The sequence below is a fragment of the Homo sapiens genome, chromosome 2, assembly GCF_000001405.40.
Source record: "Homo sapiens chromosome 2, GRCh38.p14 Primary Assembly".
Taxonomy (NCBI): Eukaryota; Metazoa; Chordata; class Mammalia; order Primates; family Hominidae; genus Homo; species Homo sapiens.
Window position 1 is genome coordinate 23,415,305 of NC_000002.12, and position 24,254 is coordinate 23,439,558.

At 48.4% G+C, this 24,254-nt stretch overlaps 1 protein-coding gene across 1 annotated transcript in view, besides 2 other annotated features; it reads left to right on the plus strand.

Moving 5' to 3' along the window:
- Positions 1 to 24,254, plus strand: part of KLHL29 (kelch like family member 29) — a 323,428-nt gene that overhangs the window by 30,126 nt on the left and 269,048 nt on the right. The window lies entirely within an intron of this gene.
- Positions 4,770 to 5,604: an enhancer, noted in NCBI's record as "H3K4me1 hESC enhancer chr2:23642945-23643779 (GRCh37/hg19 assembly coordinates)". NCBI's record gives its function as "activates a minimal SCP1, AML or CMV promoter by ChIP-STARR-seq in naive H9 embryonic stem cells {active_cell/tissue: H9 hESC(naive)}" and the evidence as "EXISTENCE:reporter gene assay evidence [ECO:0000049][PMID:30033119]".
- Positions 10,284 to 10,784: an enhancer, noted in NCBI's record as "H3K27ac-H3K4me1 hESC enhancer chr2:23648459-23648959 (GRCh37/hg19 assembly coordinates)". NCBI's record gives its function as "activates a minimal SCP1, AML or CMV promoter by ChIP-STARR-seq in naive H9 embryonic stem cells {active_cell/tissue: H9 hESC(naive)}" and the evidence as "EXISTENCE:reporter gene assay evidence [ECO:0000049][PMID:30033119]".

Here is a 24,254-nt window from a genome sequence, read left to right on the forward strand (position 1 = left end):
ACACAAGGCAGGGGCTCAGGTGCTGAGAACCTGCCCAGGAAGGAAAGGTGTTTCTTCTCTGTCTCTTTGAGTGTCTGTGCATGTGTGAATTTTAAAAACGTTCTTTCTTTTGTGAAGCGAAGGTGATTAGGTTGTTTGATGTTTAAAGCATTATTGTTACTTGGCAGAATATGAAGTTGGAAAGCTATTATTTGTTCCCACAAGTTTTGGAGGTTTAGTAGTCCATGAAATCCAAAAGACTAGGACTTTAGTGCCAGACAGGCTGGGCCTCAATCCCAGAGCTGCCCCTTACTAATCAAGTAGCTTTGCATGAAGGTTTCTGAGGTCCTGTTTTGTTGTTGTTGTTTTTTAAATCCCCTTAGTCTGTTTATGTATCCTTAGATCTAAAGGTAGTCTTTTTATTTTTTTTTTTGACATAGACTCTCACTCTGTTGCCCAGGCTAAAATGCAGTGGCACGATCACAGCTCACTGCAGCCTTAACCTCCTGGGCTCAGGCGATCCTCACACCTTAGCCTCCTGTATAGCTGGGACCACAGGTGTGCACCACCACACCCTGTATATATTTTTTAATTTTTTTGTAAAAGATAGTAATACTCACTGCTCAGAGTTGCAGTGAGCAGTGAATAAGAAGACATGGGTGAAGTGTGTAATCAATAGCTGATAAGAAATTGGTGACACTATTGGGTTGAGGGGTCGACATTGATCAAAACAACTTTCTAGAGGCAGATCCTAAATCATGCAGAGTGGCTTAGAATCTGTTCTTGTGCCTGCTGGAGTTACACCTTCATGGCAACAAGCACCTGAGGGCACAGTGATAACATCCCGAGAGCCTGGGGAGTCTTGTGTATTTCTTCTCTGCTAACACTTGTATGCTGGAAAGAAGCTGTTGTATTCTGAAACACTGATGCATCCCAAGTTCAGAAGCCCTGACCTCACAGAGCTCCACTTCTAGAAAAACACCTAGGGTAATCCAAGCCCCGCCCTCTGATGGGACTGGATGTCTTGCAGCTGCGGTTTGGTGGGCATTTTCCCTCTTTGTCTCCCTCCCTCCTCTCTCAGAATGGACAGGACAGGCTGTGTTGTCCTCTGCAGGTCCATGCCTCAGTTTCTTCATCTAGCAAAAGGCAAGTGATACACCAAGGTCACCAGGGCAGTGAGTTGGTGGCAGAACCGGGACTCAAGTCCAGGGTCTCTTCATGCAAATGTAAGAGATGCTATGTGGTGGTGCAGTCTTGGGCTGGAGGGACTCAGCCCTTTTTTGCCTGTGAGGTTCACATCACCCTGTCTTTTGAGCTGTTCTCATCTCTCTGTCAATAGATCCATTGTCTATGATTTACTGAAACTCTTCCTGGAGAAGCTGCATTTTATCCATTGCTGCCTATCGGGTAAAGAGGGTGTCTAGTGTGTTGCCAGCTAAATAAACATGGTGGCCTTCCTGGCCACGTTCCCTTTTTCTGCCCCTCCTGGGGCTCCATCTTTGTTCTCACTGTACACATTCTCTCTTCAGTATTGTTATGGGCTCCCTAAAACAATGGTTCCCAAATCCGTATCTTCAGTACTGACCCCACTGCTGACTGTGAGACCCATAACACCAGCTCACTAAGGGCCATCTCCCCTGGATACTCCACAGGCACCTCCATTTGAGCCCTTCTGAAGCTGATCTCAAGCCTCTTTTCCCAACCCCAGCCCAAATCTCTTCCTCCACCTGGGTTCCTATCTCATGGCCCTGACAGAAGCCTGGGAGCCTTCCTGAATACTCTTCCTTCCACCCCCAACATAGAGCTGTTCCCCGGGGCCATCAGCCTTCTTCTCTTCATTGCCTCTGTCCTCTCTCTCCATTGCCACCAAGACCCCTGCTTGGTTCAGGCTCCATCCTCTCTTAAGGGATTTGACAGCAACCTTTTAACTCATCTCCTGGCCTCTGAGCTTTTCCCTGCCCATTCATTCTCCATCCAGAGCCAGGGCACCAATTCTATCCTGACAGCCTTCTGCTAGAGCCATGGCTTAGAGATCTCATTTGGGGATACACGTTTGTTGTGTGGCCATCATGTGTGGCTGCATGGAGTGACCGAAGTGAATCATCTGCCTGCAAGCGTTTACACTCAGGTGAGCACAATTCACATACTCCTTGGCTTAGCACATGTCACCAAACTTACATACGTCGAACCTCGAGCTTTAGGTACCTTGTCTTGATCCTGGCAACAGTGCCATGCAGTACGCACTGCGCGATCCCCACTTTCCTGATGGAGACACTGAAGCAGACGGAAATGAAGTCGTTTGTCCAGGTGAACAGAGCAAGTCAGTCGTGGATGGAGGCTCTGTACCCAGGCAGCCTTGACCCTGGGATTTTCATTTTTATCACTGCATTGTCTCTCCTCCAGCCTCACCTTTCTCTCCCCTCCAGCCTCACTTTTCTCTGCTCTTTTCCTGTCATAGACCCTTTAGAGCTCTGCTGAAGTGCTTGCAGTTCTCCCAACACCGTGGGCTTGTTCAGCCTGGATTTTTAGCCTTGAGTTTCTTCTCCCTAGAACCTTTACTGCCACCACGACCCCCACCCTCTACTGAGGCTGTGTCCAGTGTGGTCAGAGAGACCATCTGGGTCTCTTTCTTTTTGGTGCCCTGTAGCATAACATCGTCTCCTGTCATATTCTGTCCATCGCCCTGGAGTAGTTTGTTCATCTTTCCCCTCAGCTAGATTGTGATTTCCTTGAGGGCAGGGTCTGTCTTGCTCATTTCTGTCCCCGAAGCCCAGCACAGTCCCTGGCATATTGTAGACACGCTGTAAGTGTTTGTTGAAAGAGTGAATGAATCCAGACACACCTTCCACTGTGGGGTCCTGCCCTCTCACTGCGGCAGTGGGCTTTCCAAACTGAAGAGGCCTTGTGCTTCCACCTGCCCTCCTGCCTGACTCCCCACCCCATCCTACCTGGACCCCGCCATGGAGCCAGGGCCTGATCCTTGGTCTTTGTTGCTTTGTCAGCCCTTGGTGATGGAGTGGGCATGGGCACTGTAAGGAACCCCCCTTGGGAGGGTGTCCCAAGGCTGGCAATCCCTAGCTGGGTCTGGGGGCAGATCCTTCCTGACTCCCACCCCCGTCCAAGCAATTTGTGGCCTATGTAGGCTCCACATAGGCATCTCGGAGGGACCTGCAGACCCAGTGCTTTGGTTTTGAAATGTTAGGCTTCAGCATGATTTAGTGCCCTGGCATTTCTGAGCTAGTTTACAGTAATCAGGCATTTGTTAATGCTCACTTTCTCCTCCACGGACTGTTGCTGACACAGGAATTTTCTTTGTTGATTAGATTTAGCCCTGTGCTAAACAGTAACCGGGGGAGGGTAGTAAGGGAAGCCTGGACGCCAGCAGTGATGGTAACCGGGGGCCCAGGGATGCTGGGGCCACAGCTTATGAACTTTGTTAGTGACTTAACCCCTCTGAGTCTCAGCTGTTTCATCTGTGAGTCAGGGATAACCTTACCCAATACGCTGGGGTTACTGTGAGGATTAAAAAAGAAAGACTACAGAGCATTGTGTTTGACTCACAGCATGCACTTCGTCAATCCTGATCCCCCCTTCCCTGCCCCTTAGTGCCCATGTTAGGCTTGACTTATTGGCACATGAGTTCCACAAGGTGCCAGATGGCACTTTCCATGGTAAAGGAATCTATAGGTAAAGAACAGGCTTTGTCTTTCTCCTAGTACTGTTAGGATTCATTACTGCCTCCAACTCCTGCCCCGTCACACGCCCCATTGGTGTCTTTTAGAGTCTGGAGTTGCAGACCACAGATACTAGTAAATTGTCCTACTGACTAAATTAAAACAGGCCAAGTCAGAAAACTCGGCTTCCAGATTGCCAGACCAGTATGATTTTTCCAAAAAGAAGAGCTTCCATAAGGTCACATTTGTGACTTATAATTTTGAACTCTGCAGACACTGGCCCCGCCCTCTGGCCAGAACTGTCCCGCTCCCCTGCCTTCTGTTTCTCTCCCTCTCTTGAGTCATTTCTGCTACCTCTGAGCCAGTGAAGGAGGCCAGATAAAGGCTCCTGGTCTGTCCTGGCGCTCCCCAGGCTGGAGGGTCCCACCTGGGGAGGGCACAGCCATCACAGGAGCTGCAGGGCCGTCTGTGGCCCGCGCTGTCGGTGGGAGCCCACAGCCGGGGTGACTGCACTCACGTACACATGTGACTTTCCTCCTTGTCCCTGTCTCGCTAGGCTTGACTCATCTCTTTAATCACTGTGGACTTGGATGCTCTGTTATTTCCAGGGCATCTTCTCAATTTCATTCTGAAAGTATGTCCTCGCTCTATTCAGAATAGATTTTTAATTGCCCTTTCCCTGAAAAATGTCGAGCGGAATGAGTCCTCAGGATAACAGTGGCCTTAACCAGGAGTCTGGCATTGGGCTCAGTGCTGAGGCCCGTGTCGCAGTGGGGCTGGGGTCTGAGGGCTCCCGTGGGCTGCGCTTTGGGGTGCGGCTGGTCTCTCAGCCTGGCCTTTTCCCCACTCAGGCGATTCTGTTCCTGGCTCATAGGTCATTTGTTGAGAGGAAGGGACTTGGGGCCAGTCATTACTCCAGGATTAGGCTGCCTGTCCCAGCTCGGCTGTTGACTGGCTGGCTGACTTCACCACTCCCTTCTCCCCACTGAGCCACAGAGGCCTTGTCATGTAACACATCACAAAGGTTAGATAAGGGCGTCCAGTGCTTTCACTCGTGGAATGCCTGCAGAATAACATGGTTTCCCCACACACGGAGACACAGGCTGCTTGTGTGGCCGGCACGGGGGGTCCTACGTCAGCATGTGGTGACCCTTGGCCTCGCCCACCATCAGATCACTGTACCTGTGTCCCCTCCTGTTCCCTCCTGCCCAGCGACCCTCACGGACTCCGCATCGTCTATCCAATAAGAACAATCCCTCAGCCATTTCAGAGCTGTCTACAGCTGGAACTCGCCCACCTTGTGGCCGTCCCTCGAAGCCCTGTTTCCTCTCCTTCCTTGCTGCGTCCACACCGATCCCGTCACTGCTTCCTCCTGCCTGAAATTCTCACTGCGTGCAGCCCGTTGAGCTAAAGGGTCAGAGACTCACTTAAGCTATGTCAAGGAATGGGGCTTGTTTTACGGGAGGCGGAATCCCACAGGAACACAGGCCCGCTGGCTCCCGAGACCGGGCTGTCTGGAGTCCTCCATGCGTCTTCATCTCAGGGCCCTGCTCACAAAGCGACTGCTGCCCTCTGAGCAGATTCTGCCGCACCTTTCTTAGTTTTCTTCCTGATGTCAACTGATAGATCGTGTGTATTTTCTGGCAAGAAATTCCAAAGGCAGAGAGTCCAGTGAGCTTAGCTAACTGCCCCTGCCCCACCTGCCAGAGCTCCTGGTGCCAGGGTGTCTGCAGAGTGCCTGCTGGACCTTGTGCTGGCCGCCTTTGGGTCTGGGGCCATCTCTGCTCCCAGCCACGTCCACCCTTTTCCAGAAATGGCACTGCTGAGGCCCATCTGTCAGCGGGGCCTCTGGGTGGGGCAGTCACTATGAGTGGCACATGTACGACTCATCTTTCCGCCACCCCCCCACCCAAATTATACCCAACCTTCAAAGCCGAGCATCAATCTCACACCCTCCCAGAAGCCCTGGCTGCCTCCTCCTCCTCCTTTATCAGTCAACAGAGACCTTAGAGACCTGGCCAGGCGCCAGGCCAGGGGCTTTCATTAACATCTTCGCACACTAGTCCTCACAGCAACCTTCTGGGAAGTAGGTATCATTGTGTCCCCTCCTTACAGAGAGGGAAGCTGAGGCTCAGAAAGGCAGGGTGACTCGCTCAGTAGTGTAGACAAGGCTCCAGCCCACCCTGTAATTCCACTCAATGTTTCTTCCACCTGTTCCAGGTCCTTTGAGCCCCTGCAGTCCTCCTGGTCTGTCACATGCTAGACAATGGTTGGCACCTGTCTTGTGGTGTCTCCCGGCATGGCCTGGATTGTAGTGATCTGTGGTCTGTCCATTGCTGAAGGGGTGTCTGCTCCTGAAGATCACATGGTCAGGGCAGAGCCGGAGGCTGGGCTGGGGGCCCAGTAGGGCCTCCCTACAGAGCACAGGGAAGTGGAGGCCGTCTCTGCCTCTCCTCTCCTCTCCTCCTCTTTTGGGGTGGCTGCTCCTGGAGGGGAGAAGTGAAGGATTTCTGGTACAAAGTCATTCTGCTTGTCCTGAATGTCAGGAAGGAAGGTTTAGACAAGATTGTGTGTGTGTGTGTGTGTGTGTGTGTGTGTGTGTGTGTGTCTGTAGCTGTGTGTGTCTGTGTGTCTGTGTCGGCATGTCTGCTTTGTGTGTCTGAGTGTGTGTTCATGTGCCTGTGTGTCTTGGTGTGTGAACCTGTGTGTGTGTGTTATATGTTGTGTGTGTGACTGTGTATGTGTGACTGTGTCTGTTAGTGTGTCTCTGTGTTGTGTGTATGTGTGTGTGTTCATGTGTGTGTGTGTGTCTGTGTGCATATGTGTTCATACATCTGTGTGTGTGTCCATTTGTCTGTGTGTATGTACATCTCTGGCTCCAAAGACCAGGTCTGTGTGTGAATGTGTATTTCTGTATGTATGTGTGTATCTGTGTGTCTGTGTTTGTGTCAGTTTATCTGCCTCTGTGTCTGAGTCAGTGTGTCTGCCTTTGTGTGTCTGTGTGTGTCATATGTTGTGTGTGTGTTCATGTGTTTGTCTCTGTCAGTGTATCTGTGTGTCATATGTCTTATGTCTGTGTGTGTTCATGTGTTTGTGTGTCTCTGTGTGTGTCAGTGTGTCTCCCTTTGCTGTCTGTATGTTTGTGTGAGTGTGTCAGTATGGGTGGGTCTTTGTGTGTTGTGTGTGTCTGTGTGAGTGTGTGTTCTTTGTGTATCTGTGTATCTATGTGTCTCTGTGTCTGTATGCCAGTGTGTCTATGTCTGTGTGTGTAGTGTGTTTGTGTGTGTGTTCATGTGTCTGTGTCTGTGTGTGCCTATGTATCTGTGTGTCTCTGTGCATTTTGTGTTTCCTTATGTGTGTACATGTGCCAGTGGGTCTGTGTATGTCTTTGTGTGTTGTGTTTGTGTGTGTGTGTCTGTGTGTGTCTCTGTATTTTCATATGCCTATGTGTCTGTGTTGTGTGTGTGCCTGTGTGTGTTGTATGTTCCTGTGTGTTGTGTGTCTTTTTGTGTCTGTGTGTTGTGTGTCCCTGTGTGTCTGCCTCTGTGTGTTATGTGTGTCTCTGTGTGTGTCCATGTGTCTGTGTCTCTCTGTGTTGTGTGCCTGTGTATGTGTCCCTGTCTGTGTGTCTGTGTCTCTGTGTTGTGTGCCTGTGTGTGTGTCCCTGTCTGTGTCTGTGTTGTGTATGTGCCTGTGTGTGTGTCCGTGTGTCTTTGTCTGTGTTGTGTGTATGTCTGGGTGTCATGCGGTCCGCCTGTGCAGGTGAGCGGGCAGTGCCCGTGTGTGTCTGTGTGTCTGTGTCTCTGTGTGTTGTGTGTGTGCCTGTGTGTGTGTTCGTGTGTCTGTGCAGTCTGCATGTGCAGGTGGGTGGGAAGGGCTGTGCTCTGCACTCCTGATGGATGCCGCTGTGCTCCTCCAGGAGGCCTTGAATTCCCCATTCAGTGCTGAGCCTGCGAGGGATCCAGTCACTCGCCCACACCTCTGTTGGTGAAATGCCAGCAAGCCATTTATGCCCCTATTGCTTAGAAAATGCAAACTCAAGTCATTCAACAAAAGCAGCCCTTGAATGGGTCTTGCCGACTGGCCCTTCGGGGCCTCAGGGCCTGGCTGTCATGGAGCCGTGGCGGGGAGCCGCAGGCCTCAGCGTGGACAGTGGGGTTGGCGGGCCCCGCAGGTGGTCCCTGGGAAGTTCCTGGTCACAGGAAGTGTTTTTCACTCATCCGCTTACTGTTCTTTTTTCCCTGCGAACAGAAAAGCCTGGATGGTTCTCCCGGCTGCTGTCCAGGGCCGGGCTCTGCAGGGCAATTCTGGGGCCACCAGAGGCGTCTGCTGCGTGGTCAGCCTGGCCGACTGACCTCCCGGGCCTGACCTCCCCAGGCCGTGCCTCCCACCCCAGGGTCTTCTCTCTTCACCGAAGGGGTCCCTTCCGCCCTGCCCTGAGAGCTGCCCTGCGCGGGCTGTCCCCTGCTTTGTCTGCATTTGCATTCAAATCCTCTCTGAGAACTTCTTAAGCAGTGTCACAGTCCGTGCCTTGTCCTCTCAGATTCTCAAACGACTTAAAGCAGAGCTCTGGGCTGGTGTTTCTCTCAAAGGGAAATGGCCTCTGTGATTTCTGGAGTGCGTCATTCCCCTACGACTTGGCGGGTCTGTTGCTGGCCATGGGGTCAGTCAGAGAGGCCTAGCCTCAGCCTGGCGGGCGGGGGTCCTGTGGGAACACCATTCCATTCTCCATGGGCTCAGGGGGTGCGGTGTGGGATCTCGCTGGTCCTCCTGGGCCTCAGCTGGTGCCCCGGGGCCTCCCCTTGAGCTCCTTCTCCATCCTGGAGTGTCCTAGCCAGGTAACCCCAGCACAACGATGTGTCCGCATAGGCCAGGCTCCTCCACCACACATATGAAACAGCAGCAGTGTGTCTTTCTCCCTGAAGACGAGCAGGGAGCTTTGTCACAGGTTGCACGGCTCCAATCTCTCCCCGACCCCATTCACCATCCTTAGTGGCTTCGCTGGAGCATCCGCTCTCTCTCCCTTCCTGCCCAGCTGTCCACCTGTCACACCCAGCACAGCCCTGAGGTGCTGCCTCTTCACACGTGGCTCCCTGAAGGACAGTGGGGCTCTTGCTCCTTTTCTTGTAATAACAGCACCATCCACCACTCCTCTCTGAGGAACGGTGGGTAGAACCGATACTTCTAGAACAAGTGCTTGGGGCTTACTGCTATCAAAGGTGGGAAATGCATCAGATTTAAATTACCTATTGTAAAAGTCAGCCAATAATTCCTTACATAGTTTCCCCTAATATGGAACTTTGGGAGCCTCTGAGTGTGCACGTGTGCATGTGTGTGCGTGGGCGGGTGCATTTGCGTGTGCATGTTTCCTGTGAGAGAATGCATGGCGAACGGAAATCAGACTCGGTCACCATTTGGTTTATCTCCTTGGTTCACTTTGACTGCTCTACACTGTTAAATTGTTTCTATTATTTGTCATCTATGCTTTCATTTATAACCAAAGTGGACCGCTTTGGCTATAAAAAGTGACAAAGACAGGAAACATAAAAAACATTTATGTGGAGCCACCCCAAGTTAATGAGGAGCCTAAGAATGATAATTCTGCAAATTTGCCTCAAGGTTGTTTTTACCAGATCCATAAGTTGTGATCATCTATCTGATCCAAGTTCTTATATAGGTCATCTAAATGTCTTTAGTACATCAAATGAGAGGAAGAAAGAAGGGTGTGGGGGGCAGATAATACAGAGATAATTTAACCAGCTTGCCTTTTATTGATTAGAAAAAATTATTACCAGCAATGTGTTATTTGGAAGAAGGACTTATAAATCTCTCTCCGAATCTCGCTTTATCTCATCATTTAGATAACATTTGAACATTACTAAAACACTGCAGTTGATTTTCCTTACGCTCAAAAATGCACGAATTCTAACGATCGGGTCACAAAAGCAGTTTTTATCTATTTTTAAAGCTGATGCACATAATTAAGTTTCAATTATGTTTTAGATATGTTGGTCCCCAAACCAAAATGTCATTTTTTATTTGTCAACAAATCAGTCTTTCCTTGCACAACTAATTTAAAGGAAATGAAATGTTGTGTATAACGTTAAATGGGAAAATGTTGAAATGTGTCTTTATATATAATGAACGTTATTAAAAAATGGTCTTTTAATGCTCATTTAATATAATCCTTGAATAATATACTCATATAAAATATTTAACTAAAAATCTTTTTTACCATAAGCCATGCAAAAATGATAAAATGATTTTTTTTAATTGTAGGGGGTTTGTGAAATTATAGATTACTGTGAAAGGAGTTCATTAGTCAAAAACAGAATTGGAAATGCTGATCTAGAGACACAAAGCCCAGGGATTTCAGGAGGGAGCTGGAGAAGGGGAGAGAAGTGAGGGTGGGGAACAACCAGTCCCCGCCTGCTAAGGAATGTATGGCTTCCTCCTTGGGCGCCAGCAAATACCTCTCTCTCCAGGGCCGGCCAGACCAGGGTCCCATAGCAAATGCCAAAAGCTAGCCAGAGGTGAGGGCATTTAGGAGTGTTGCCTTTGAGTTCATCCTTCAAAGAACGCAACGCTGGGCAGGTAGCAGGGTGAGCCCCCTGCCTGCGTCCTACCCTGGTGTGGGGATAGGGAGTGAGCTGGAGACACAGATGAAAGGAAGCCAGTGTCCCCCCAGACTGCAGCCCCGAAAGGAGCAGCCCTTGGCTGATCCCCGCTAAGCTGCTTTGCCAGCTTGCCTTAGATTAGACTGGGTGTACTGGGTGCAGGCGACATCATTTCTGAGAACTGGCTGTCACATGACTTGGCAGAACAATAGCAGCCAGGTGGAATTTTGTTCCTTGTACCATTTGTGAGCACTGGAAGGACCACAGGACAATAGTGATCCAGGCTGGGTCTCTTTCTTCATAGGGCACAAATCAAAGCCCAGAGAGGTGGGAAGAGGCCGCCCAGGGCCTCAGGGTGGCCAAGAGCATGCTGTGTATACATTCTCCCAGGCTCCCATGTGTGCATTCTTCCAGTGTTCTGGGACAAGGGTGTGTGCCATTTCAAAGATACTGATCACAGAGGATGACTGCACCCTTCCCATGCCTGGGGAGTGCCTTTGAGGTGGGGAGATGGCCTCAGGGTCATGGGAAAGGCTCTTGGGAGGGACAACTGGGTTCTGGAAGGCTGTGGGAAGCGGGGAGGAGGGGATGAGTAGGGCAGAGGGTTAACTTACGCAACAGCAGAAACCATTCTACTGTACTCAGGCTCTGCAGGTGTTTTGTGACCCTCCTGCAGGAACATTTATTTGTATCTGTTCCAGCTGGTTGACCTGCCACAACCCATCCTCAAATGTATCAATCCAAGGTACTATTATTTATGGAATCATTGACTCATGAGCTCCCCAGGGCTCCCCTGCCAAGTGACTTCCCGGCGGCCACTGGTCACCTCCAGGAGCAGGAGCTCCTAGCCCAACTGAGGGGAGGCCCCTCTTCCATCAGCTTTTCCCCTCCAGTTCTGGTTCTTTCTGCCCCTCGGGGTCTCCCAGTGCGCACCTGGTCCGCCTGCTACAGGAAGGCCTTTCAGGCATGTAAAGAAGCAAAGACACCCTCCCCGCTGCTGCAAATAAACGCCCAATCTGCAAGAATGTCTCCTGCCCTGGCTCACACATACTTTTCATGTACTTTTGGCATCTGAGTCACGTCTCTAAATGGGCTGCAGTTTGTCAACATCCCATGGAAAGTATGGCCCGAGAATCCAGTGCAGCACTCAGAGCCGTGACTGGGACAGCAAAGGGCCAGGTTGCCAGCTCTTTCTGCCAAGGTCTCAGTGCACAGCTGGACCCAGCCTCAGCTGACAGCTCTTCTGGAAGCTTCTGTGTTCTAGCGGGGGGTGATACAGTCTGCCATGAGGGTGAAGTACACATGACGCACCCTGAAATCTAACCTCTAACAGAGCCACATGTGTCATTCAGAAAAGAACATTGCTTTCAAGGCCTTTTCTTATTCTAACCAGAAAAGTGATAGCACTCTTTTATAGAGTGATGTGGATTTGAGCCATTAAACGATTTGCTTACTGATACCCAGGCCTCTTGATCTGGCATTTCATATCCCAGGTGACCGCTGCATGGTGCCTCTGAATGTCCCTACTCTTTTTCCCAAAACAGTACCTAACAGGAGCTCAGGTCTCCTGACTCCACAAGAAGGTGCTGGCTAATTGCACAGCCGAAAACTGTGCAAGAGCCAGTTTGAAAGGGGGCCACACGTTGATCATTCTGGGCTGAATATTTTTGCGGCGTTCTATATTTACACCAAAATGGAGGTGAACTTAACAATACGGTGTTACCACAGGAAATGAATGAATCTGTCAAAAATCACTCTTTTACTGAATGACTTCTTTAACCTGAGCTGCCAGAAAAGTCTCTCACAGTGGGAAGTCATGCTTTAGATGGTGTGTCCTGATGAAAAATTGATATTGGCGGAAATAACATTTTTTAAAACTTCTAGGTGTTAACAGTAACTTTGAGTTCTCTGTGAGGCTCAGAGGGGTGGCGTGTTCTGCGTGGCCACATCCGTGTTTATTAGTTTATGGCCTTCTGCTGTGGCATTTCATCATCACAGCAAAATTGCAACCTTTCAGCGCCTGCGGACAGTCACGTTAAAATGGCTTTGAGGGAGAGATGGCTCATGTGGTCAGGCGTTTTGGTGTCACACTCAATTGGCTAAACATAGTAATTTTGGGGTCTATTATTGACTAATTTGGGTAATTCACCTACTGGGAAATATTTTAAGATAAAAATGTAAAATCCTGTCAGTGTATGAGCAAGGTCCTTGATGTCAGTTTTGTGACATATTTTTAAACACTGGAATCTGTTCTGTGGAATATTCTGGCATGTTGTAGTTAAGTAAAACAATGTTGGGAGCCCATCAGCTGTCTGTTTGCCCATCTTCCTGTGCTCATGGAGGCTCCTATCTGGGTGGTTATTTTATACCTGGGCGGCTCCCGTTTAATAGAGAATGCCATTAACAAGCGTGCCAGAGTCTGTCTCTGCCTGCAGCCTTGATTAGCCATCAGCATGCGTGAAAACTCATTTCTTGATTGGTGTCGAAATATGTCACACCCTGATGGAGCATTGCAGGCTATCACTGCTAACGGATTAATGACAGAGCACCTGCCGCATGGCCTCATCCACGACAGCTGCCATCCAGAGAGAACAGAGTTTGGACCGTGTCCGCAGAAGGCCTTGGAGTGTTGACGTGGGCAGGTCTAGGAATCTGCATGGGCAGAAATGTAGGGGAGCTGAGTCACTCTGCGGCAAGTGGCTGTGTCTTCCGCTGTCCCCCTGCATGTGAGGCTTGGGACCTGAAGGCCCATTTTCCCCCAGTGATGTTGCGAGGTAGGTGTTTAGGGTCTGGCATGGGTATAGGATTTCACTAGTTTCCCTCAACTTCTATCCCTCCTTCCTGGCACTCCATAATCACTTTACTATGCTTTGTCTTTTGCTGTGATGGGTGTCCCGGTCTCAGCTCCTCTCGCCTACCTGCACCAACAATGACCACACAACTGTTGTGTGCAGGCACCATTGCCAGAGTGCATCATACAGGTCGTCAGTCCCTTGGAGGCAAGAAAGGTACCTTGTTTACCATCCTACCCCCCGCCACACACACACTTAATTATGTTATATGATTGATACTCAGGGTTTCAGTGGCTGTTGTGAGTCAAATTGTCATTTGTGGCCGAGTGGTGAACAATGTCCCTCTTCTCGTGCCCAAACCTGAGGGCTGAATTGGAACTTGGCATACCCTGAAAATTTCAAAAGATTTTACATGATGCAAGGAATGATTTGGGGCCGTTGGCTCCCCCAACAGAACCAGCAAAGCCTCCCGGTACTTCTTTAGTATTTTGCTTTGCAATGTCCCAGCCTTTCCCTTTAAGTCTCCTTTTCGGACAATATATAGAAAGTTCTACACCACATCTCTCAGCCCAGGTTAAGCGAGGCTGGACTCTGGGTTCTCATCCTGATTCTGCTGCCAGCTCAAGGTATAGCTTTGGTTGGGCTAGTGTCTTCTCTCTGGGCCTTGACTCCCCTGTGTGCACAGCGAGGGAGTTTGGAACTCATGGCCAACTCTTTGGGTGAGGATCGTGAGCATCCACCTCTCCCCAACACCAGCCTGCACTTGGGTACATATGTTCACATACACCCAGGCACGCACGTGTGCATACATGCTCAGCTGGGCCCTGCTCTGTCACTGATGAGCCAGGGCCTCTAAGATCTGTTCTCTCCATGTGAGTTGCTTTTGTGCAGCCCAGGGAGCCATGGTTGCTGGCGCTGGGGCCTTGGTGCCCACATGTCCCTGGGAGAGGTTGCACTGTACAATGATATGTGCTCCTCAGCGTGTAAACCACCACCCAGCCCTGAGGGACAGAGCTTTGGTTGTGGGGGTCTCACTGCATTCTACAGATGTTTCTTTTGTGCTTTCAAAGTAACATAATTGCCTCATCAAAAGTTTGTGAAACAGGCTGGGCGCAGTGGCTCACTCCTGTAATCCCAGCACTTTGGGAGGCCGAGGTGGGCGGATTACCTGAGGTCCGGAGTTTGAGACCAGCCTGGCCAACATGGTGAAACCTCGTCTCTACTAAAAATACAAAAATTAGCCAGGCATGGTGGCGGACGCCTGTAATCTCAGCTACCCTGGAAGCTAAGGCAGGGAGAATTGCTTGAACCTGGGAGGCAGAAGTTTCAGTGAGCTGAGATCGTGCCACTGTACTCCAGCCTGGATGACAGAGCAAGACTCTGTCTAAGAAAAAAAAAGAAAAAAGAAAAAAAAAATTTGGGAAACAGATAGGAGGGGAAGGGAAATCACCTATAACACCCCTTTCCCTTCCAACAGCTACCACTATCATTTTGTAAGTTTCCTTCTAGTGACTTTAAATTTATATTTTTTCAATTTTTTTAATACTTGGCACTGTAATAGGCACTTTACATATATTAACTACTTGAATCTTCTCAACAGTCCTCCTGGATAAAAATGAATGAATCTCATTTTACAGATGAGAAAACCGAGTAGAGGTTGAGTTGCTGGGTATATTCAGCTTGCTGGGGCTGGGATTTGAACCCTTGCCGTGTGACTCTGGACCCTCTCTTCCTTCCACCAGTGCAGTGGTTATCAAATTTCACCTGTCTGAAAGTCACCTGGAAGACTTGTTAAACCTATTCCTGGGCCTCACTTCCAGAGTGTGCGATTCAGTGAAGCTGGGTGAGGGAGGCCTGCCATCCTGCACTTCCAGCAAGCCCCCAAGCAATGCCAGTGTTGCTGGTATGGAAACCATATGTTGAGAACAATTGTACTAGTCCATACTGCTGCCTTGTGAAGACCTCATCCTCTATCCTGATTTCCCCACTCATTCTGAAAGAATTCCACTGTGTTACTATTTGGCTTCACACAGATCACTTACAGTGACTACATGAGATGACGCATGTTCTAAAAGGAATCTATTGCTTGTTTGATGCTTTGGAATTCACAAACCTGCCTTAGCTCAGAGCCCAGGAAAATCACCCACAGTTAAATCCCTCCCTGAGAAGGACTCTCTGGGCCCTCCAGCTGGCCCAAAAGGGACAGGTGCCTGAGATCATTACATCAGTGCCCAGTGCCGTTCAGTTACATAAATCTGACCCATTCTTCAAGGCACTGTTCAGCTTTCACATTCCCCAGGAAACTCACCCTGCCTACCTCAGCCCACAGGATCTCTTCCTTGCTGCGCCCCTGATGCCTGTGCTACTGTGGTCAGTGGTCTAGGTTAGAACCCGGGAACTAATTTTTTCTCTTCTAGATAGTGAGCGGCCCTTGGGTAGCATTTGGTCCAGCCTTTCCATTTTACAGATGGTAAAACCGAGGCCCAGAGGCAAAAAGAATTGTCTCAGGTCAGAGTGCTGTGTCTATAAACTCCATTTTGAATTAATTCTTGACAAACACAGTTAGACCTTACAGTTGGTTTACATTTACTTCTTAAAATGACTTCCCAGATATCCCTACACTGAAAGGATGCAGACTTGAAATAGACGGACACAACAGATACTCCTTTCTCCGTGCTGTGCAGCCTGGAGAGTGTCCCCAGAGCTGCTGCAGTGGTCTTGCTGGAAAACCCCTCTAGCACCTGTGTAGAAGCATCAGGAGGAGCTGCCTCTATTCTGTGTCCCATTCCAGACATTTCAGAGGTGTATGTGGAGTCCATGGCACCAACAGGTCTTCCTACTCTCCCGAGGCTGGAGCTGAGTTTACAGGTGTCCAGAGTTGGCAGATGGGTCCTTTATCTAAATGTGTGACCCTGTGTTCAGAGCTCAAGGCATAGAACAGCAGTGCAGTGAATAAGACCACAGCTGGTTTTTCTCCGTGGGAAGGAAATATGCCTGGAGGCTTCTGATTTCATTATCTAACAAGTGTATTTTCTCTGATGTGGGCTCAAAATGGGGAAAGAATAATTATTCCCAGCAGCCCCACCTCTGCCGTCTCCCGTTCCGGGACTCCCTTGACAGGCTCCTCGCCAGCCCTGCTCCTCCGCCGGCAGCCGCCCCTCAGTAGCTGCCGTGAACATGGGCAGTGGGAGATTATTCTTCATTTCAATTTCATTCTTTTTTTTCTTATTAAAAAAGCAGTGAAGGCCGGGCGCGGTGGCTCACGCCTGTAATCCCAGCACTTTGGGAGGCCTAGGCGGGTGGATCATTGAGGTCAGGAGATCGAGACCATCCTGGCTAACACGGTGAAACCCCGTCTCTACTAAAAGTACAAAAAAATTAGCTGGGCGTTGTGGCGGGCGCCTGTAGTCCCAGCTACTCGGGAGGCTGAGGCAGGAGAATGGCGTGAACCCGGGAGGCGGAGCTTGCAGTAGTCAGCCGAGCCGAGATTGCGCCACTGTACTCCAGCCTGGGCGACAGAGTGAGACTCCATCTCAAAAAAAAAAAAAAAAAAAAAGCAGTGAAAACACATGTTCATTATTTAAAAATCAGAAAATATGAACCAAAAAGAAATGAATGAAAATACCTCATAATACCACCCGCCCCAGGGATAACCACAGTTTAAAACTATGGACGTCAATTCCAGATCACCATTTCTCGAAGTTTCCTCAATCTCTTTCTTGTTTCGGGTTTTGATGCACATATAAACACGCTATTTAGTGCTATCATTTCATTTTACTGTACATGAAAGTATGCTTATGCATAGTGGAATCTGCTTTTTTCACTTAGAGAATCTTGGGTACCTTTCATGTCAATGGTTGAAAAATCTAATTCGTCCTTGTTAAATAGTATTTAATAATTAATAATGCCAAAGCATTGATTGACATAATCTGCCTTTATTGGTTATTTAAATTATCTTCAAATTTTGCCCTACGAGCAACACACCTATCTGTGCTCTTAGCTGGTTACAGTTATTTCCCTGGTTATTTTTTAAATGGGGAAGCTTTCTATTCATTTGTTGGAGGAAATATTTTCCAGTCACATGCTGTGTGCCAGCCATGGTGCCCCATTCTGGGGATTCAACAGTGCCTGAGACAAGGTCCCTGTCCTTGCACTTCTGGAAAAGGGGCATGGCTTATCAGTAATACACATGTAGATTTAAAAGACCATTGCAGATTGTGATAAGTGCTGTAAAAAATCAACAGGGTGGTGGGATTGAGGGAGAAGGCAGCGGAGCTCCTGTGACAGAGCTCAGGGAAACCTCTCTGAGGAGGCGTTTTTGAGCTGAGACCTGCAAGAGAGGCAGCCAGGGCTGGAGGAGCTGTGCAGGTGCTGAGGCAGGAGGGGCTGGTGCCCCTGAGGCTGGAAAGGCAACAGAGCAGAGGGAGTCGGGGGCAACTGGTCTAAGAAGAAGTTGAAGTTGGCTGGAGCCAGGTCACTCAGGTTTCCATTGGCTGCAGCCAGTATGTATATTTCATTCCAAGAACTATCAATGGCAGGGAGGATGAAGAGACAGGAAAGGGCATGGTGAGGGAGACAGGGGTTGCGAGTGGGGGAAGGCACAGAGAAAGGAAGGAATCAAAGGGGACTTTGGGGTTCATCCAGGAGGGTCCTGGTGCTGATTCCTTGCTGACATTCAGAGTGTGTGCCCTCCGTTGTCTTGATAAAGGGAGGGGAGCACCTCCTGCCGTCTGGCCGGTGCCCCTTCTGGTGGCAGAGCACCCTTGGGTCAGCGAGCGCTTTTCTGCTCCTGCAAAGTCCCGCCAGCCTCTAAGAGGGTGGATTTCTATGCCAGAGGCCTGGGTCTCCACCAGCAAAAGAGTAAGTTCTATGGCAAGAAACCCCTCCAGAACATGTGTTGAAATCCTTTTGCAGAGTTACCAGTGCACCTGAATTATGGTGGCTACAAAGCTGCTAGGGCATTCCCCGGATCCGAGCTTGGAGGAGGCCAAGCCTGGGCAATTTTTCTGACTTTACTGCACCATCATCCCCATGAGGGAATCTGGTGTTGGGGGAGGAGGGGCAGGGAGTGGCCGCGGAGGCCACTGGCTCATACTTGACCTGGCAGTGCTGTCCAGGTGTCCTGGCACCTGTGGGACATTGGTCTGGGGACAAAGTACATCCCCACAGCAGCTGGTAAGAGAAGGGTGCTGCCTACGTTATGTAGGCAAATGGATTTCCAACTAAATTTCACAAAGCAATGATGGTGTCTTGACAAAAAATGAGCGCTGGGCAGGGTGGCTTACACTTGTAATCCCAGCACTTTGAGAGGTTGAAGTAGGAGGACCGCTTGAAGCCAGGAGTTCAAGACTAGCCCAGGCAACATAATGAGACTCCCATCTCTACGAAAAAAATTTTTTAAAAATTGCTGGGCATGGTGGTGCACACCTGTAGTCCGAGCTATTCCGGAGGCTGAGGAGGGAGACTTGCCTGAGCTCAAGAGTTTGAGGCTGCAGTAAGTTACAATCACACCACCGCACTCCAGCCTGGGCAATAGAGCAAGACCATGTCTCTAAGAGAAAAAATGAACAGTTAACTGTTCAAGATCCAAGTGCAGTAAGTTTCGTTAGTGTTTGAGGGTATGTGTCTGTGGGTGTGTGCAAGTGTGTAGAGCCCTTTAAAAAGCTAGGCTCCGGCCGGGCGCGGTGGCTCACGCCTGTAATCCCAGCACTTTGGGAGGCCGAGACGGGCGGATCACGAGGTCAGGAGATCGAGACCATCTTGGCTAACACGGTGAAACCCCGTTTCTACTAAAAATACAAAAAATTAGCCGGGCGTGTTGGCGGGCGCCTGTAGTCCCAGCTACTTGGGAGGCTGAGGCAGGAGAATGGTGTGAACCCGGGAGGCGGAGCTTGCAGTGAGCCGAGATTGCGCCACCGCACTCCAACCTGGGAGACACAGCGAGACTCCGTCTCAAAAAAAAAAAAAAAAAAAAAAAAAGCTAGGCTCCGTGAGTCATGGCCCAAATCCAGGAGCCCTGGGCTCTGACAAAGTGCAGAGCCTTGGTTCCCATTCCCTGGTGGGGAGAGAAAGGCCTTGTGCAAACCCTCCCCTCAGGTTAGGGCACCAGTCAAGAATGCAACCCTAATTAAAACGTGAGGCAGTCAGTCAATTACAGTTCCATCGTGGATGGAAGTTCTCCTGATTTCAAACTTGGGCCTTGTAGACGGGAAGAAAGAAAGAAGAGACATTGAGAGTCCTTCCCCCAGGCTATTTCTGGTGAGCCAGTTACTGGGGTTTTATATACATTTTCTACAAAAGAACAAATATTTGGGTCAGATGAAGTGGCTTTGCAGCAGGCTGGGTTTTGACATGCTGTAAATAGTCATCCATAATGGGGCGAGGCTGGCTACACTGAGCCATTGCTGTGCTTAAATCCTGGTTCTCCTCGGGGCCCGTGGGCAGTCAGTCCAGCTGTGAGCTGATCACCCCTGGCCCAGCATCGTGTGGTCGAGGCAGGCTGTGCCTGTCAAAGCCTGAGAGGGGGTGGGGAGTGTCAGGCTGTCTTACCACCTGCCAGAGGGAGGCTCTGGAAGTGGGAAGAAGGGTTGGGCTGAGGCTGGCTGAGGAAACTGATGTCATTGGCATAAACAAGACATAACTCTGCTTTCACAGAGCTGATGAAACGCCATTCCATAGCTCCATGTCCTCAGGGCTGGTGTGAGGCCTGAACTGGGTGTGATGGGGGTGAGGAGGATGTGAATTCACTGGGGAAAGCACCTTAAAAGTGGCAACATTGGAGTGTGGTCTTCAGAATGGGGACTGGTGCCATGGAGACGGGGAATGTATGGTGTTGGGTAAGGTCGGGCATTAGGAGATGGCACTGGGGAGGCAGACAGAGTCAGATTTTAGATGATTGTGAAGGCCATACTGAGTTGTATCTCCTCAGGATACAGGGAGCCGTCTGGGGACTTCTGTGCATACAAGCGATGGGTCACAGGTGCACATTTGGAAGATGGCCTGTCAAGTGGAGGCTGAGCTAGGCTGGATCAGGGAAAGGCTATAGGCTGATCAGGGAGAGGCTAGAGACCACTGGGAGCCATAGAGTCCAGGTGGATATGACAGTCCTAAACAGGACAGTCATAGCGTGACAAAGAATCCACAGGGCTGGGGAATGGTTTGGGTGACATGATGAAGGGGAAGTCAAATTCAGCTCCCAAGTTTGGGGAATGAGCTGCGGTTGCACGTAAATCAATTTTCTGCTCCACTAAGTTTATTCATTTAAATGCCCGAACTTAAATTAACTGTTTTTGGATGGAAAGCTTTCTAAATAGTGACCACTGAACATCACCCTCTGCCTTTTTCAGGAAAGGAAGTAGAACATATTGTAAGCATAGTGCGATGGGATAGTTGCTGTGAATAATTGCAGCTATCCTTATTGTCAGTTGCCTCAAGGCCTGGTGAGGTGTTTGGAACCCTTTGCCCCAGCAATGAATGGCCCCAGGCTGTTGTGCTTAGCTAGTTCTGGGTTTTCTTTCTTTCTCTCTCTCTCTCTTTTTTTTTTTTTTTTTTTAAAAAGGAAAGCTGTTGTTTCCCTCCTGGCTCTTCCCTTCTTTGCTTTCAGCTGTCATTTCTCAGTCCTAGAGCTTTCGAGACCCTCATCCTCCGGCTATTTCTAATCTTCTGCCCCGGGCTTTTCAAATCTCCAACTCCTCTTAAAGTATACAGCCTCTGTGATGGCTGTTTCCTTAACTTGTGGGTTTCTTCTTGTTGCTTCCCCTTCTATAGCTTTATTGCAGATGACTGAGCTTTCAGTGCATGGGGATGTTTCTGTATTTCTTGCGTATTCCCCGCAGTGCCTAGATGGTGCTGAGCATGTTGCTGATACTCAGTAAACATCCATGGATTTAAGAGAAGTAAATAGCCAATCAGCTTTGTGTGTGTGTGTGTGTGTGTGTGTGTGTGTGTGTGTGTGTGTGTGTGTGTCTCAGCACCAGAGAAGTTTACCTTCAGTTTCTCAAAAGCTGGAGTTGCAAAGCCATCTTTGAGAGCCACATTTTTTTCTCCCTCAAAATATGGTCTTAATTGTGTGGTGATAGCCACAGACACCGCCTGGAAGCCTTCCTGTGCTTCAGGAGCAGAATGACTCTCCTCATTGTCTGTGGGTTTAGGCACCGAGAGCTGCACAGATAAAAGCAGATGAGTCACAGGTGTGGATCTGCTGGGCGGCTCTTGTCGTTAGCAGTACAAAGCCACAGGTGCGCATTCAGCGCTGCGAAGCGGGAAGAGGAGCCCTGACGATTCTGAGGGTCTCAGGTCAAGTTAGTTACGTGGGGACTTGAAAATGCATTGGAGATGCAGCCTGGCTTCCGCAGCCGTGGAGAAAATGAGAATGATTTTTGCTATTTGCTTTTGGGGCACCATTTAAGCCCATGTCTTGCTAGGTCAACGTTTTCATGCCCATAGCTATAAATTAAAGAGATGCCTTAGACTTGGGAGCTGTTTCTCTGACTAGAAGCTGCGTCTGTTTATTCCCTTGCAGTTGCTAGGAGCATTGCAGACCAGAAGGAAGGAAATGGAGGATGAATGATTTTAAGCATATTTTCCAAGAGTAATGAAACCGAAAACACAAATTCCCACACACCAGAAAGGAACTGGTTTCCATCCAGTGTAGAAAAAGCTCCTGGCAAGATCCAGACTCTCTGATAATCATTCCCCTTTGCTAGGGTTTAGCTGGGCCACCGGCTTGATTGAAAGCCCGGGTTCAGCGGAATGTGTGGGCAAAGTGTACTAAGCAGGCCAAGTCTATGCAAACCAGGATCTGAATCAGTTATTTAAAACAACAGACTTGGGTAAAATCAACAGTCATTCTAATCTAGTTTATCTGGGAGCAGCAGTTTATCTCACAGAACCTCATTTAGTTCCATGAAATTGAGATTGGTTTCTTGATCTATGAGATTGCAACTTGGTGTGGTATTGTGGCCTTCCATCATTTTAATGAGGTCCTTAATGATATAATCCCACTCTTGGATGAGTTGAAGGTGGCATCCCTCTTGCTGGAGAGACTAGGATGAAAGGCATTTTCTTTTACGTAGGTGACCTGGTTTTTGTTTTCATGAATTCAGAAAGGAATTAGTAGACAACAGGTTCTGCTATCTAATTATTACCATAAAGAAGGGTTGCTGGATACTTAGGCTAAATTCGAAGTCAACACTTTCGGTATAGGCTCTCCAGCATTCACTTGGCGTACAGCCTACAGCCTGTCTCAGTTTATATATTGCTGTGCAAAAATCCACATTAAAACTTAGTGGCCATTGATCTATATCTCTGTTTTGGTACCAGTACCATGCTGTTTTGGTTACTGTAGCCTTGTAGTATAGTTTTAAGTCAGGTAGCATGATGTCTCCAGCTTTGTTCTTTTGGCTCAGGATTGACTTGGTGATGCAGGCTCTTTTTTGGTTCCACATGAACTTCAAAGTAGTTTTTTCCAATTCTGTGAAGAAACTCATTGGTAGTTTGATGGGGATGGCATTGAATCTATAAATTACTTTGGGCAGTATGGCCATTTTCGCAATATTGATTCTTCCTACCCATGAGCATGGAATGTTCTTCCATTTGTTTGTATCCTCTTTTATTTCATTGAGCAGTGGTTTGTAGTTCTCCTTGAAGAGGTCCTTCACATCCCTTGTAAGTTGGATTCCTAAGTATTTTATTCTCTTTGAAGCAATTGTGAATGGGAGTTCACTCATGATTTGGCTCTCTGTTTGACTGTTATTGGTGTATAAGAATGCTTGTGATTTTTGTACATTGATTTTGTATCCTGAGACTTTGCTGAAGTTGCTTATCAGCTTAAGGAGATTTTGGGCTGAGATGATGGGGTTTTCTAGATATACAATCATGGCGTCTGCAGACAGAGACAATTTGACTTCCTCTTTTCCTAATTGAATACCCTTTATTTCCTTCTCCTGCCTAATTGCCCTGGCCAGAACTTCCAACACCATGTTGAATAGGAGTGGTGAGAGAGGGCATCCCTGTCTTGTGCCAGTTTTCAAAGGGAATGCTTCCAGTTTTTGCCCATTCGGTATGATATCGGCTGTGGGTTTGTCATAGATAGCTCTTATTATTTTGAGATACGTCCCATCAATACCTAATTTATTGAGAGTTTTTAGCATGAAGGGTTGTTGAATTTTGTCAAAGGCCTTTTCTGCATCTATTGAGATAGTCATGTGGTTTTTGTCTTTGGTTCTGTTTATATGCTGGATTACATTTATTGATTTGCGTATATTGAACCAGCCTTGCATCCCAGGGATGAAGCCCACTTGATCGTGGTGGATAAGCTTTTTGATGTGCTGCTGGATTTGGTTTGCCAGTATTTTATTGAGGATTTTTGCATCAATGTTCATCAAGGATATTGGTCTAAAATTCTTTTTTTGGTTGTGTCTTTGCCAGGCTTTGGTATCAGGATGATGCTGGCCTCATAAAATGAGTTAGGGAGGATTCCTTCTTTTTCTATTGATTGGAATAGTTTCAGAAGGAATGGTACCAGTTCCTCCTTGTACCTGTGGTAGAATTTGGCTGTGAATCCATCGGGTCCTGGACTCTTTTTGGTAGGTAAGCTATTGATTATTGCCACAATTTCAGATCCTGTTATTGGTCTATTCAGAGATTCAACTTCTTCCTGGTTTAGTCTTGGGAGAGTGTATGTGTCGAGGAATTTATCCATTTCTTCTAGATTTTCTAGTTTATTTGCATAGAGGTGTTTGTAGTATTCTCTGATGGTAGTTTGTATTTCTGTGGGATTGGTGGTGATATCCCCTTTATCATTTTTTATCGTGTCTATTTGATTCTTCTCTCTTTTTTTCTTTATTAGTCTTGCTAGTGGTCTATCAATTTTGTTGATCGTTTCAAAAAACCAGCTCCTGGGTTCATTAATTTTTTGAAGGGTTTTTTTTGTCTTCATTTCCTTCAGTTCTGCTCTGATTTTAGTTGTTTCTTGCCTTCTGCTAGCTTTTGAATGCGTTTGCTCTTGCTTTTCTAGTTCTTTTAATTGTGATGTTAGGGTGTCAATTTTGGATCTTTCCTGCTTTCTCTTGTGGGCATTTAGTGCTATAAATTTCCCTCTACACACTGCTTTGAATGTGTCCCAGAGATTCTGGTATGTTGTGTCTTTGTTCTCGTTGGTTTCAAAGAACATCTTTATTTCTGCCTTCATT